This window comes from Homo sapiens, chromosome 5, assembly GCF_000001405.40.
Source record: "Homo sapiens chromosome 5, GRCh38.p14 Primary Assembly".
NCBI classification, from domain to species: Eukaryota; Metazoa; Chordata; class Mammalia; order Primates; family Hominidae; genus Homo; species Homo sapiens.
The window spans coordinates 80845543-80859230 of record NC_000005.10 but is presented as its reverse complement, the minus strand read 5'-3'; the positions used below and the strand labels follow the sequence as shown (position 1 = coordinate 80859230).

General features: G+C 39.7%; 1 protein-coding gene and 1 pseudogene across 1 annotated transcript in view, besides 1 other annotated feature; one reads left to right on the top strand and one right to left on the bottom strand.

Moving 5' to 3' along the window:
- Window positions 1–13688, bottom strand: part of MSH3 (mutS homolog 3) — a 222164-nt gene that overhangs the window by 17585 nt on the left and 190891 nt on the right. Inside the window, exon 21 of the mRNA NM_002439.5 lies at window positions 4915–5101. Coding sequence (NP_002430.3) covers window positions 4915–5101 — 187 coding nt within the window. The remainder of the gene's footprint in view (window positions 1–4914; window positions 5102–13688) is intronic.
- Window positions 3392–3726, top strand: RPS26P27 (ribosomal protein S26 pseudogene 27; annotated as a pseudogene).
- Window positions 12119–12619: an enhancer, noted in NCBI's record as "H3K4me1 hESC enhancer chr5:80142431-80142931 (GRCh37/hg19 assembly coordinates)". NCBI's record gives its function as "activates a minimal SCP1, AML or CMV promoter by ChIP-STARR-seq in primed H9 embryonic stem cells {active_cell/tissue: H9 hESC(primed)}" and the evidence as "EXISTENCE:reporter gene assay evidence [ECO:0000049][PMID:30033119]".

The window sequence follows — 13688 nt, the reverse complement described above, 5'->3', positions numbered from 1 at the left end:
AAGAATCACTTGAATCTGGGAGGCAGAGGTTGCAGTGAGCTGAGATTGTACCACTGCACTCCAGCCTGGGTGACAGAGTGAGACTCTATCTAAAATATATATATATATATGGAGGAAGATACATCATGTTAACATTAAAGAAAGCTGAAGCAGCTATATTAATTTCTAAAGGAAGTTAGAGTAGCTATATTAATTTGAGACAGAGCAGACTTCAGATCAAGTAAATTTGTCAGGGATAAAGAAGGATATTATATAATGATAAAGGGATAATGATAAAATGATAAAGGATATTATGTCTTATGTCCAAGAAGACATAATATCCTTAACATGTATGCATTTAACAAGAGAATGTCAAACTACATGAGGCAAAAGCTGATAGAACTACAAAGAGAAACAGATGAACATACTACTATAGTTAGAGATATCAAAATTCCTCCATCTGAAACAGACAGATCCAGCAGGCAGAAAATCAGTAAGGACACAGCTGAACTCAACAACACCATCAATCAACTAGACATCATTTATATCTATAGATACTTCAACCAACAGCTGAATACACATTCATCTCAAGCTAACATGGAACATTCACCAAGAAAGACCACATTTTGGGCCATAAAACACATGTTGACAAATTTAATATAATAAAAATCATACAATATTTGATCTCATACCACAATGGAATTAAACTAGGAATCATAACAAAAAGGTAACTGGAAAATCCCCAAATACATGGAGACTAAACAACACATTCTTAAAAAACATATGGGTCAAAAAAGAAATAAAGAGAAATTTAAAATATTTGGAACTAAGTAAAAACAGGAAGCACACCTTATCAAAATTTGTGGAACCGCACCAAAAGCAGTGCATAGAAGAAAATTTATAGGCCAGGAGCGGTGGCTCACACCTGTAATCCCAGCACTTTGGGAGGCCAAGGCAAGAGGATCACTGGAGTCCAAGAATACGAGACCAGCCTGGGCAACATAGTGAGACCCCAATCTCTATAAAAAATAAAAGTGAAATTAGCTGGGTGTTGTGGCATGTGCCTGTAGTCCCAGCTACATGGGAGGCTGAGGCAGAAGGATCACTTGAGCCCAGGGAGTCGAGGTTGCAGTGGGCTATGTTCATGCCACTGCAGTCCAGCCTGGGTAACAGAGCAAGACCCTGTCTCAAAAAAGAAAAAATGGAAAGAAAAGAAAGAATAAAAAAAGAAAATTTATAGCACTGAACACATTAGAAAAAAAGAACAATTTAAAATAAACAATCTAAGCTTCTATCTTAGGACACCAGAAAGAGAAGAGCAAAAATAAGCAAAAGAAAAGAGATAATAAAAATTAGAGCAGAAATCAATGAAATTAAAACAAGAAAGCAATGGGGAAAATAATCAATAGAACCAAAAGCTGGTTCTTTGAAAAGAAAACTGATAAGCTTCTAGTCAAGCTAACTAAGAACAAAAGAGAAAAGACACAAATGGCTAATATCAGAAATGAAAAGGACAACACTACGGATGCCGTGGACAAATAAAAGGATAATAAAGGAATACTATGACCAACTCTATGTCCACAAATCTGGTAACCTTGGTGAAAATTTCTTGAAAAACAATTCCTTAAAAGACACAATGAGCCAAAACTCACACAAGAAAAAAAACAGAAATTCTGAATAGGTCTATATCTATTGAAGAACTTGAGTCAATGGCCTTCTAAAACCAAAATCATAGGCCCAGATGGCTTCACTGGTGAACTCCACCAAATGTTTAAGGAAGATATTTTACCAATTCTCTATAGTCTTTTTCAGAGGACAGGAGTGGAGTAAATACTTTCTAACTCATTCTATGAGGCCAGCATTACCTTAATACTAAAACCAAAGACATTATAAGAAAACTATAAACCAGTATCTCTCATAAACATAGATGCAAAAATCCTCAATAAAATATTAGCAAAATGAATCCAACAATGTATAAAAAGAAAAACAGACCATAACCAAGTAGGACTCATCCCAAGTGTGTAAGACTCATTCAACATTTGAACACCAGTTAACGTAATCCATCACATCAACAGGCTAAAGAAGAAAAATCACATGACCATATCAATAGATGCACAGAAAGCATTTGACAAAATCTAACACCCATTCAATAAAAACTCTCAGTAAACTAGGAATAGAGGAGAACTTCCTCAATTTGGTAAGGAATATCCACAAACAACCTCTAGCTAACATCATACTTAACGGTGAGAAACTCAAAGCTTTCCCACTAAGATCAGAAACAAGGCAACGATATCCTTTCTTACTGCTTTTTCAACACTGTACTGAAAGTCCTAGTTACTGCAATAAGACAAGAAAAAAAAAATAGATGGGGAAGAAAGAAGTGAAACTGTCTGTTTGTATCTGACATGACTGCCTATGTAGGAAATTCAAAAGAATTGGCAAACATACACACAGACTGGAATTAGTAAGTGATTACAGCAAGGTTGCAGGATCCAAGGTTAATGTACAAAAGTCAATTGCTTTCCTATGTAGTTTCTTTTTTTTATTATTATTATACTTTAAGTTTTAGGGTACATGTGCACAATGTGCAGGTCAGTTACATTTGTATACATGTGCCATGTTGGTGTGTTGCACCCATTAACTCGTCATTTAACATTAGGTATATCTCCTAATGCTATCCCTCCCCCCTCCCCCCACCCCACAACAGGCCCCAGTTTGTGATGTTCCCCTTCCTGTGCCCATGTGTTCTCATTGTTCAACTCCCACCTATGAGTGAGAACATGCGGTGTTTGGTTTTTTGTCCTTGCGATAGTTTGCTGAGAATGATCGTTTCCAGCTTCATCCATGTCCCTATAAAGGACATGAACTCATCATTTCCTACGTAGTTTCTATAATGATTAAAGTTTCTGAGTTACATCTTTTTGCAAATAAATTTTTTAAAGCAAAACAAAAAATTCCTTAAAAAAAACAAAATGTTATAATTACCTATGTAATCTAAATAAATGTTTAAACAAAACCTGAGTCACTCTTGGGTCTTCACTGCCAAAATAACAAAGAAAAGAAGGGAGGCTGGGCATGGTAACTCATGCCTATAATCCCAGAACTTTGGGAAGCCAAGGCAGGTGGATCACTGGAGCCTGAAAGTTCAAGACTAGCCTGAGCAACACGGTGAAACTCCATTCCTAAAAGAATACAAAAATTAGCTGGGTATGGTTGGTGTGTGCCTGTAGTCCCAGCTACTCGGGAGGCCGAAGTGGAAGGATCACCTGGGCCCAGGTAGGTCGAGGCTGCAGTGAGCCATGATCATGCCACTGCACTGCAGCCTGAGTGACAGAGTGAACCCATTTCAAAAAAGAAAAAAAAAAAAAAAAAAAAAAAGAGGAGGAGGAGGAAGAGAAAGAAGAGGAGGAGGAGGAACAACAACAACGGTTGTGCCAAAAAGGGCCATAGCTAGGTACAACCTATTTGCTGCACAAACTGTGTTGGATGCACACCTAAGGACAAGGCTATTTAGAAGTTTGTCATTTGAAATATAGTAGAAGGTACAGCTGTCAGGGACATTTCCAAATTGAGTGTCGTTGATGTCTCTGTGCTTCCCAAACAGTGTATGAAACTGTATTACTGCACAAGTTCTGCCGCTCACAGCAAGGTAGTCAGGAATCATTCTCATGAAGCCTAGAGGACCAAACAACTCTGCTCCAATTTAGATCTGAGGATGCTGCCCCATGATCTCCATCAAAGCCTGTTCATGGAGCTGAGTCTCTAAAGACTGAAGAAAAACTATCTTCTGGAAAAAAATTAAATGGAAATTAAGCTTTAAAAACAAAACTAAACCCCAAAACACCAATGGCAACAAAAGGTTAAAGAAAAATACATTTTATTTTTGTGTTGCTTTTTGAAAAGAAATATTAAAAATATGATTTTATTGGCTATTTAAGGAAGAGAGAAAGAAATGAAAATGAGGGAAGACACAATGACAAAGGAGCAAGAAAATGGGGGGGAAAACAGAAAGAAAGACCAGAGAAGGGAAAGACCTAAGGAGAGGTGCCATGAAGGGGAGATTTGAAAAGCAGAGACCAAAATGAACAAGATAGAGAAAGTAAACTAAAGGAGAGAGTTAGATGGAAATGACAGGGATAGAAAGTTTGACACAAACAAAATTTTACACTGAAGCTTAGAAATGCACCCTGAAAAAAAGGAGACATGTATTGAAGGAATGATGTTACTGAATCAGATAGAAACACAAAGAGATGAGATCAAAGATCTCACAGTGAGATCCTTCAGGATGTTGGTGAAAAAAAGGATTTCACAAAGTGGAAATGGCACTATTTCCTTGTTTTTCCCTCGAGGAATTTGGCTGTAGATGGATGGTACCTGTTCTTGATTTAGGGTTCACCAAGGATAATAAGATATAATTCTGAGTGAAAATATTGCCAGGAAGGCCTTTTTCGTACAACCAGATTTATGTTGAGTCAGCAAAAAAAGGAACATATATCAAAAAACTACAAACATTATTTAGGGTCAATCTGTCTGAATTCAGTGTGTAGCATTCTAATGATCACTTGCAGGACTGCAGTCAATTATAAAAAAGATAATTTTGAGTATTTGGAGACTGAGATCAGGAAAATAATGTGTATAATATGTATCATCCATGTACAAAAGGGTATGCAGGGATTGCATAACGGTATTATGACTACAGCAGTAATAATATATATTTCAAAATAACTAAGAGAAATTTCAAATGTCTCACCACAAAAAATGATATTTAAATGAGGTGAGGAATGTGTTAATTAGGTTAATTTAATCACTCCATATTGTTTATATGTTTCAAAACATCACATTGTACCCCATAAATATGGCACAATTATGACTGTCATTTAAAAATAATAATTTACAAATTAATTTCTTTTTAAATACAGTTTACCGGATACTTACATCTCTGATGAAATACTCAAGTGTAGCATAGGCAATGGCAATTCCATCATGAGTGCTCGTCCCTCTTCCTAGTTCATCCAAGATAACCAAGGACTGTGATGTTGCTTTTCTGATTATTTCTGCTGTGTCAGTCAGTTCTTCCATAAATGTACTCTGTCCTTTATATATATTGTCTGCAGCACCCATCCTACAAGCAAGATGAAAACACCTTGATTTTCCTCTTCACTTTCTTATTAGGAAGCCGAACATTATTTTATGAACAATAAATATAAAAGATCACTAAGAATCTATATATTTTGAGCCAATAATAGCTCAAATTAAATTAAACAAAAGAAAACATGTTGGATGTAAAGAGTGTCTAACATCATACTGTACTTTGTAGGAACATTCTGGATAGAATTTGAGGTATTGCACAGAACTCCTAAAAAGTAGGGAAACGTTTGATCCTGCTTTTTTCTCACTAATAAATCCAAATCAAAGTTTTGGTATTCACAGGACAAAACAATACTTCTCTGTGTTTCTGTGTTTAAAAGTCCATGATACTGTACAAAGATCTTGTACAATTAAAGGTTTTTTTCAGTGTTTCCTTAAGAAGATTCCATACTGATATTACAAATTAAAGTACTACATATAAAGTAAGTTATTTATATACAACTTTTTACTGGAACTAGAATTATAGACGTTTGATACCTTGGACAGCAGCTAATACAGGTTCCTAAAGTAGATTTTATGAAACAGTTCCTACAGATGTCAAGAAATAGATCCAAAAGATTTAAATTTCTTTTCTGTAAGACTTCTTAAAGCCTTTAGTATGAGACTACATATTGTGCTTTTTTTTTTTTGGACAGGGTTTCATTCCCATTGCCCAGGCTGGAGTGCAGTGGCATGCTCTCGGCTCACTACAACCTCTGCCTCCTGGGCTCAAGTGATTCTATAGCCTCAGCCTCCCAAGTAACTGGGACTACAGGTGCATGCCACCACACCTGGCTAACATTTTTTGTATTTTTAGTAGAGGCAGGGTTTCACCATTTTGGCTAGGCTGATCTTGAACTCTAAACCTCAAGTGATCTGCCTGCCTTGGCCTCCCTAAGTGCTGGGATTACAGGCATGAGCCACCGTGCCCAGCCAGTGCATTTCTTAGAGAAGGATCTAGTACACAGCTTTTCTTTAACTGATTTAACCATGGTCCCTGAAATGTCTTCCAGAGCACCTTGCAGCAATAATGTCTTTCAGAACACATTTGGGAAAACACCTATATAATGCAAAAGGAACTGAAAAAAACAAAGGAATCATTATTAGGTAATACTCAGTGTTATGCAGTTAATTGCAAAACTCAGAATTCAGGTTTTTCACCCAGTAGCCAGCTTTGTGAATGCTGGTAACTACTTTCTCAGCAAAATCCCTTCATTGATTTAGTTTTGCTACAATAGTTCACAAAATAGGACACATACTTCACATTTGACCTACAGCACCATAATGTACCTTTCATTTCTTAAGAAAGTCATGGTCAAATTGCACCTTAACCAGCTGTGTGGCTGAAGCCCTATAAGAACAAGGGAGATGGAATGTGATGTCAACACATGGGCAGAGCCTTAGAACTGTTCCAATAACTAGCGGCATTGAGAAATTGTATAATTTCTGAAATGTTGCCACCTTAGGAACATTCTGGCTACTTTTTCAAAGTTCGAATACTGGTATTTACCTCAAATTTCAATGTTTACTTTAACAATATTTCCTTTTCCCCTACCACAAAACAGGATGATGAAACTTTCATATCCCTGAAACCACTTAGAATGCTTCAGAATCACAATGGTTCACCCTGTCTACCACTGTTTGCCTTTATTGTGGCAGGATGTGAGCTGACAGAAAGAAATCTTTGGCTGATAACAGAACATTCTGATGAGGGAAATATTTTGGGGGGTCATTGATTTTTAGAAATTAGGATAATACACAAGCACTGGATACAGTTTTTTGTTTTGTTTTTTGTTTTTGAGACAGGCTCTTGATCTGTCACCCAGGCTGGAGTGCAGTGGCAGTGATAACAGCTCACTGCAGCCTCAACCTCCCAGGCTCAAGCGAGTGCCCACCTCAGACTCCTGAATATCTGGGACCACTGGCGCATGCCACCACACCAAGCTAATTTTTAAATTTTTTGTAGAGTCAAGGTCTCACTATGTTGCCTGGGCTGTTGTTGAACTCCTGGGTTCAAATGATCCTCCTGCCTTAGCCTCCCAAAATGCTGAGATTACAGGCATGAGCCACCATGCCTGGCTGTTGTATACAGTTTTAATACAGTAGATTAAGCATTATACTTAAGTGCTTTCTAAAACAGTAAAGTAACAGAGTGGTCTTGTTAGAAATGTCAAGAATTGTAAGATGTGCCTGGACAAGTTATTTCTAGGCAGATACACACACATATTTATAAAAAACATTTTGTATATGACAGAGGTGAGATTTCAAATTAATAGGGAAAGGATGAACTACCAGTCAATGAAAAAGATGCTAGCTAATTAGTTATTTCAGAAAAAACAAAGATGTGTCCCTATATAAGCCATATTCCAACATAAATGTACATGGATTTAAAAGTTTAATGTAAAACTAGAAATCATAAACATACCAAGCTATATAGATGAAATTTAATCTCTGGACAGGTGAGTGGGTGGCTTTACATATATGTCATCAAAACATATATTTAGCAAAAGACACATAATAAAAAAGTTAAAGGCAAACCACAAACTGAGAAAAAACTTACAGTAATTATAATGAGCACTTAACATTCCCAAAATAAAGTCTGACAAAGCGAAACAAAATGGTGAACAGAAAAACAGGCAAAGAACATAAAGAGTCAATTCACAAAAGAAACTCATGAAAACACCCAAATATGTAAATTCAAACAGGAAAATATTCACATTCTATATATATATTGTAATATGTATATTGCTAAGTTAGCAGAGATTAAAAAGAACATGATCTGCCATTATCAAGAGTGCTGCGGGGAAAGGGTATTTTTATGAGACAGAGACTTGTTACAATCTTCCAAAAGACAATTTAGCAATGTCTATTAGAAATCTTTCATGACCTATAAATTTCACTCTAGGAATTAACACTATGAAAACCATCAGAGATACATGAAGAAATACATGTACAAATGTGTTCTTGATGTTATTTAATGAAAAGCTGGAAAAAATCAAATATCCAATAATAAGAGAAAGAGTAAACAGTACTATGATGAAAAACTATGCAACCAATAAAATTAGTATGTTAGAATTTTTGGCATCGGAAAATGGTTATATTAATAACATAGTGAATGTTAAAAAATGAGGTCACCAGAAATTTTTTAACTTCAGTGGAGGAGTCTGCTAGAAAAAGGACCTATTGAGCTACTGGAAATTCATCCTTGCTATTATAATAACTCGAGTAATGTTCCAGTCAGATATATGAGTAGCAAACACATTAAAGAAAAATTTGAGGACACATAAGGAAAAATGACAGTATGAAAGAGAAGACTGAGAAAACCAACAGAACAAGTACCATAGAGGAAGTGGATAAAAATACAATTCACTGGTGATATGATTTGGCTCTGTGTCCCCAGCCACATCTTTTCTTGTAGCTCCCGTAATTCCCACATGTTGTGGGAGGGACCTGGTGAGAGATGACTGAATTATGGGGGCAGGTCTTTCCTGTGCTGTTCTCATGATAGTGAATGAGTCTCATGAAATCTGATGGTTTTAAAAACGGGAGTTTCCCAGCACAATCTCTGTCTTTGCCTGCTGCCATCCCCATAAGATGTGACTTGCTCCTCCTTGCCTTCTGCCATGATTGTGAGGCCTCCCCAGCCATGTGGAGCTGTAAGTCCAGTAAACCTCTTTCTTTTGTAAACTGCCCAGCCTCGGGTATGTCATTATCAGCAGTGTGAAAATGGACTAATACAGTAAATTGGTACCAGGAGTGGGGTGTTGCTGGAAAGATACTTGAAAAAGTGGAGGCAACTTTGGAACTGGGAAACAGACAGAGGTTGCAACAGTTTGGAGGGCTCAGAAGACAGGAAAATGTGAGAAAGTCTGGAACTTCCTACAGACATGTTGAATGGCTTTGACAAAAATGCTGATAGTGATATGAACAATAAGGTCCAGGCTGAGGTGGTCTCAGATGGAAATGAGGAACTTGTTGGAAACTGGAGCAAAGGTGACTCTTGCTTTGTTTTAGCAAATAAACTGGCAGCATTTTGCCCCACCCTAGAGATTTGTGGAACTTTGAACTAGAGAGAGGTGATTTAGGCAGAGGATGATCTGGGAGAAGAAATTTCTAAGCAGAAAATAATTCAAGAGGTGACTTGGGTGCTGTTAAAGGCACTCAGTTTTATAATGGAAACAGAGTATAAAAGTTTGGAAAATTTGCAGCCTGACAGTGTGATAGAAAAGAAAATCCCATTTTCTGAGGAGAAATTCAAGCCAGGTGCAGAAATTTGCATTAAAAACGAGGAGCTGAATGTTAATCCCCAAGACAATGGGGAAAATGTCTCCAGGCATGTCAGAGGTCTTCATGGCAGCCCCTCCCAACACACCCCGGGAGGCCAAGGAGGAAAAAGTGGTTTCATGGGCCAGGCCTGTAGACCCCCGCTGTGTGTAGCATAGGGACTTGGTGCCCTGTGTCCCAGCAGCTCTAGCCATGACTAAAAGGGGCCAAGGTACAGCTCAGGTTGTGGCTTCAGAGGATGCAAGCCCCAAGCCTTGGCAGCTTCCATGTGGTATTGAGCCTGCAGGTACACAAAAGTCAAGAACTGAGGTTTGGGAACCTCCGCTTAGATTGCAGAGATGTATGGAAATAACTGGATGTCCAGGCAGAAATTTGCTACAGGGCAGAGCTCTCATGGAGAACCTCTGCTAGGGCAGTACAGAAGGGAAATGTGGGGTCACAGCCCCCACACAGAGTCCCTACTGGGGCACCATCTAGTGGAACTGTGAGAAGAAGGCCACAGTCCTCCAGACCCCAGAATGGTAGATCCACCTAGAGCTTGCACCATATGCCTGGAAATGCCACAGACACTCAATGTCAGCCTGTGAAAGAAGCTGGGAGGGAGGCTGTACCCTGCAAAGCACAGGGGAGGAGGTGCCCAAGACCATGGGAACCCACCTCTTGCATCAGTGTGACCTGGATGTGAGGCATGGAGTCAAAAGATACCATTTTGGAGCTTTAAGATTTGACTTCCCCGCTGAATTTCAGACTTGCATAGGGCCTGTAGCCCCTTTGTTTTGGCCAATTTCTCCCATTTGGAATGGCTGTATTTGCCCAATGCCTGTACCCCCATTGTATTTAGGAAGTAACTAACTAGCTTTTGATTTTACAGGCTCATAGGCAGAAGGGACTTGCCTTGTCCTGGATGAGACTTTGGACTGTGGACTTTTAAGTTAATGCTGAAATAAATTAACACCCCAGGGGACTGTTGGGAAGGCATGATTGGTTCTGAATGTGAAGATACGAGATTTGGGAGGGGCCAGGGGTGGAATAACATGGTTTGACTCTGTGTCCCCACACAAATCTCATCTTCTAGCTCCCATAATTCCCACGTGTTGTGGGAGGGACCCAGTGGGAAATGACTGGATTATGGGGGCATGTCTTTCCTGTGCTGTTCTCATGACAGTGAATGGGTCTCATGAGATCTGATAGTTTTAAAAACGCGCATTTCCCTGCACAATATCTTTACCTGCTGCCATCCACATAAGATGTGACTTGCTCTCCCTTGCCTTCTGCCATGATTGTGAGGCCTTCCCAGCCATGTGGAACTGTAAGTCCAATAAACTTCTTTCTTTTGTAAATTGCCCAGTCTCGGGTATGTCTTTATCAGCAGTGTGAAAATGGACTAATAGAACTGGAAAGAATTAAAACAAGCAAAATCTCGATTTGGTATCCTCAGGAAGATTAAGAATATGACAGACTTAAAACAAGAAAAGTCTATGAAGAAATAAACAACTGGAGAACAAGAAATCTTGAAAATTAAAAATATGATCACTGAAAAATTTACTGTATGGGTGAAATTAAAATTCGATGCTGTATAGGACCAAGCTTTTATTTTATTATTGTTTATTTGAGAAAGGTTCTAACTCTGTCGCCCAGGCTGCAGTACAGTGGCATGAACACAGCTCACTGCAGCCTCAACCTTCCTGTGCTCAGATGATCCTCCCACCTCAGCCTGCTGGGAAGCTGGGACTACAGGCATGCCTGGCTAATTTTTTATTTTTTGTATCTTTAGTAGAGATGGGGTTCCACCATGTTGCCCAGGCTGGTCACAACACCTGGGCTCAAGTGATCCACCAGCCTCAGCCTCCCAAAGCACTTGGATTACAAGCGTGAGCCACTGTGCCCTGCCCTAGACCAAGTTTTTAAACCTGGAAGATAAATTCAAAGAAATCTCTGAGAACAGCAATGAGAAAGACCAAGAAATGTAAAGTACAAACAAATAGATTTAAAACACGGAGACCATGTCCTAACAGTTGAAAGCTGCTCAAATAGGAAGTGCAAAAGATACAAACAACAAAGGTAATGACATAAAATAACTTAAGAAAATGCCCCTACGCTGAAATAAGACATGCACCTTCATATGGGAAGGTTTCATGAAATGCTGAGTAAGATTAGTAAGAAAAGATTTACATCTAAACATTCTGCTGAAAATTTTATAATAAGGATTAAAAAATTCTAAATGCCTCAGAGAAAGAAAAAATTCATCATTAAGCAAGGGATGAGAATCAGACTCTTACTGACTTTATCTACATTGAATGTAATACTGGAAGATAACGGGAGCAATTTCTTTAAATTTAAAATCTGGATATTTATATTCATCTAAACTTTCAAAGCAAATATGAAGATAAAGCTATTTGAGGCTTTCTAAAACTAAAAAAATTTGCCACCAAGAGCCCTACATGAAAAAAGTACTCAGAGACAGGCTCAAAAAAAAAAAAAATATTCAGCCAGGTGCAGTGGCCTATAATCTCAGCACTCTGGGAGGCTGAGGCAGGCAGATCACTTGAGGTCAGGAGTTTGAGACCAGCCTGGCCAACATGGCAAAACCACATATCTACTAAAAATACAGAAATTATGCAAGGGTAGTGGTGCATGCCTGTAATCCCAGCTACTCAGGAGGCTAAGGCAGGAAAATCGCTTGAGCCCGGGAGGCAGAGGTTACAGTGAGCTGAGGTTGCACCACTGCACTCCAGACTGGGCAAGAGAGCGAGAATCTGTCTCAGAAAAAAATCCAAAAATTAAGGGTCGCTTCCAAGATGGCTAAATAGGAACAGCTCCAGTCTGTAGCTCCCACCGAGATGGATGCAGAAGATATGTGATTTCTGCATTTCCAACTGAGGTACCTGCTTTATCTCATTGGGACTGGTTGGACAGTGGGTGCAGCCTATGGACGGTGAGCTGAAACAGGGCAGGGCGTTGCCTCACCTGGGAAGTGCAAGGGGACGGGGGATTTCCTTTTCCTAGCCGAGGGAAGCCATGAGAGACTGTACCTGAAGAAACAGTACACTCCTGACCAAATACTGCACTTTTCCCATGGTCTTTGCAACCGGCAGACCAGGAGATACCCTCCCATGCCTGGCTCACCAGGTCTCACGCCCACGGAGCCTTGCTCACTGCTAGCGCAGCAGTCTGAGATCAACCTGCGACGTTGTGGCTTGACAGGGGGAGGGGCATCTGCCATTGCTGAGGCTTGAGTAGCTCACAGTGTAAACAAAGTGGCCTGGAAGCTCAAACTGGGCAGAGCCCACCACAGTTCAGCAAGGCCTACTGCCTCTCTAGATTCCACCTCTGGGGGCAGGGCATAGCAGAATGAAAGGCAGCAGACAGCATCTGCAGACTTAAACGTCCCTGTCTGACAACTATGAAGACAGCAGCGGTTCTCTCAGCATGGCATTCGACCTCCGAGAAGGGACAGACTACCTCCTCAAGCGGGTCCCAAAACCCCGTGTAGCCTGACTGGGAGACACCTCCCAGTAGGGACCGACAGACACCTCAAACAGGCGGGTGCCCCTCTGGGATGAAACTTCCAGATGAAGGATCAGGCAGCAATATTTACTGTTCTGCAGCCTCTGCTGGTGATGCCCAGGCAAAGAGGGTCTGGAGTGGACCTCCAGCAAACCCCAACAGACCTGCAGTTAAGGGGCCTGTTAGAAGGAAAATTAACAAACAGAAAGAAATAGCATCAACATCAACAAAAAGGACATCCACACCAAAATGCCACCTGTAGGTCACCAACATCAAAGAACAAAGGTAGATAAAACCACAAAGACAGGGAGAAACCACAGCAGAAAAGCAGAAACTTCCGAAAACCAGAGCGCCTCTTCTCCTCCAAAGGATTGCAGCTCCTCAGCAGCAATGGAACAAAACTGGGCAGAGAATGAGTTTGATGAGTTGACAGAAGTAGGCTTCAGAAGGTCGGTAATAACAAACTTCTCCAAGCAAAAGGAGCATGTTCTAACCCATCACATGGAAGCTGAAAACCTTGAAAAAAGGTTAGATGAATGGCTAACTAGAATAAACAGTGTCGAGAAGACCTTAAATGACCTGATGGAGCTGAAAACCACGGCATGAGAACTTCATGATGCATGCACAATCTTCAATAGCCGATTTGACCAAGTGGAAGAAAGGATATCAGCGACCGAAGATCAAATTAATGAAATAAAGTGAGAAGACAAGATTAGAGAAAAAAGAGTGAAAAGAAATCAACAAAGCCTCCATGAAATATGGGACTATGTGAAAAGACCAAATATACATTT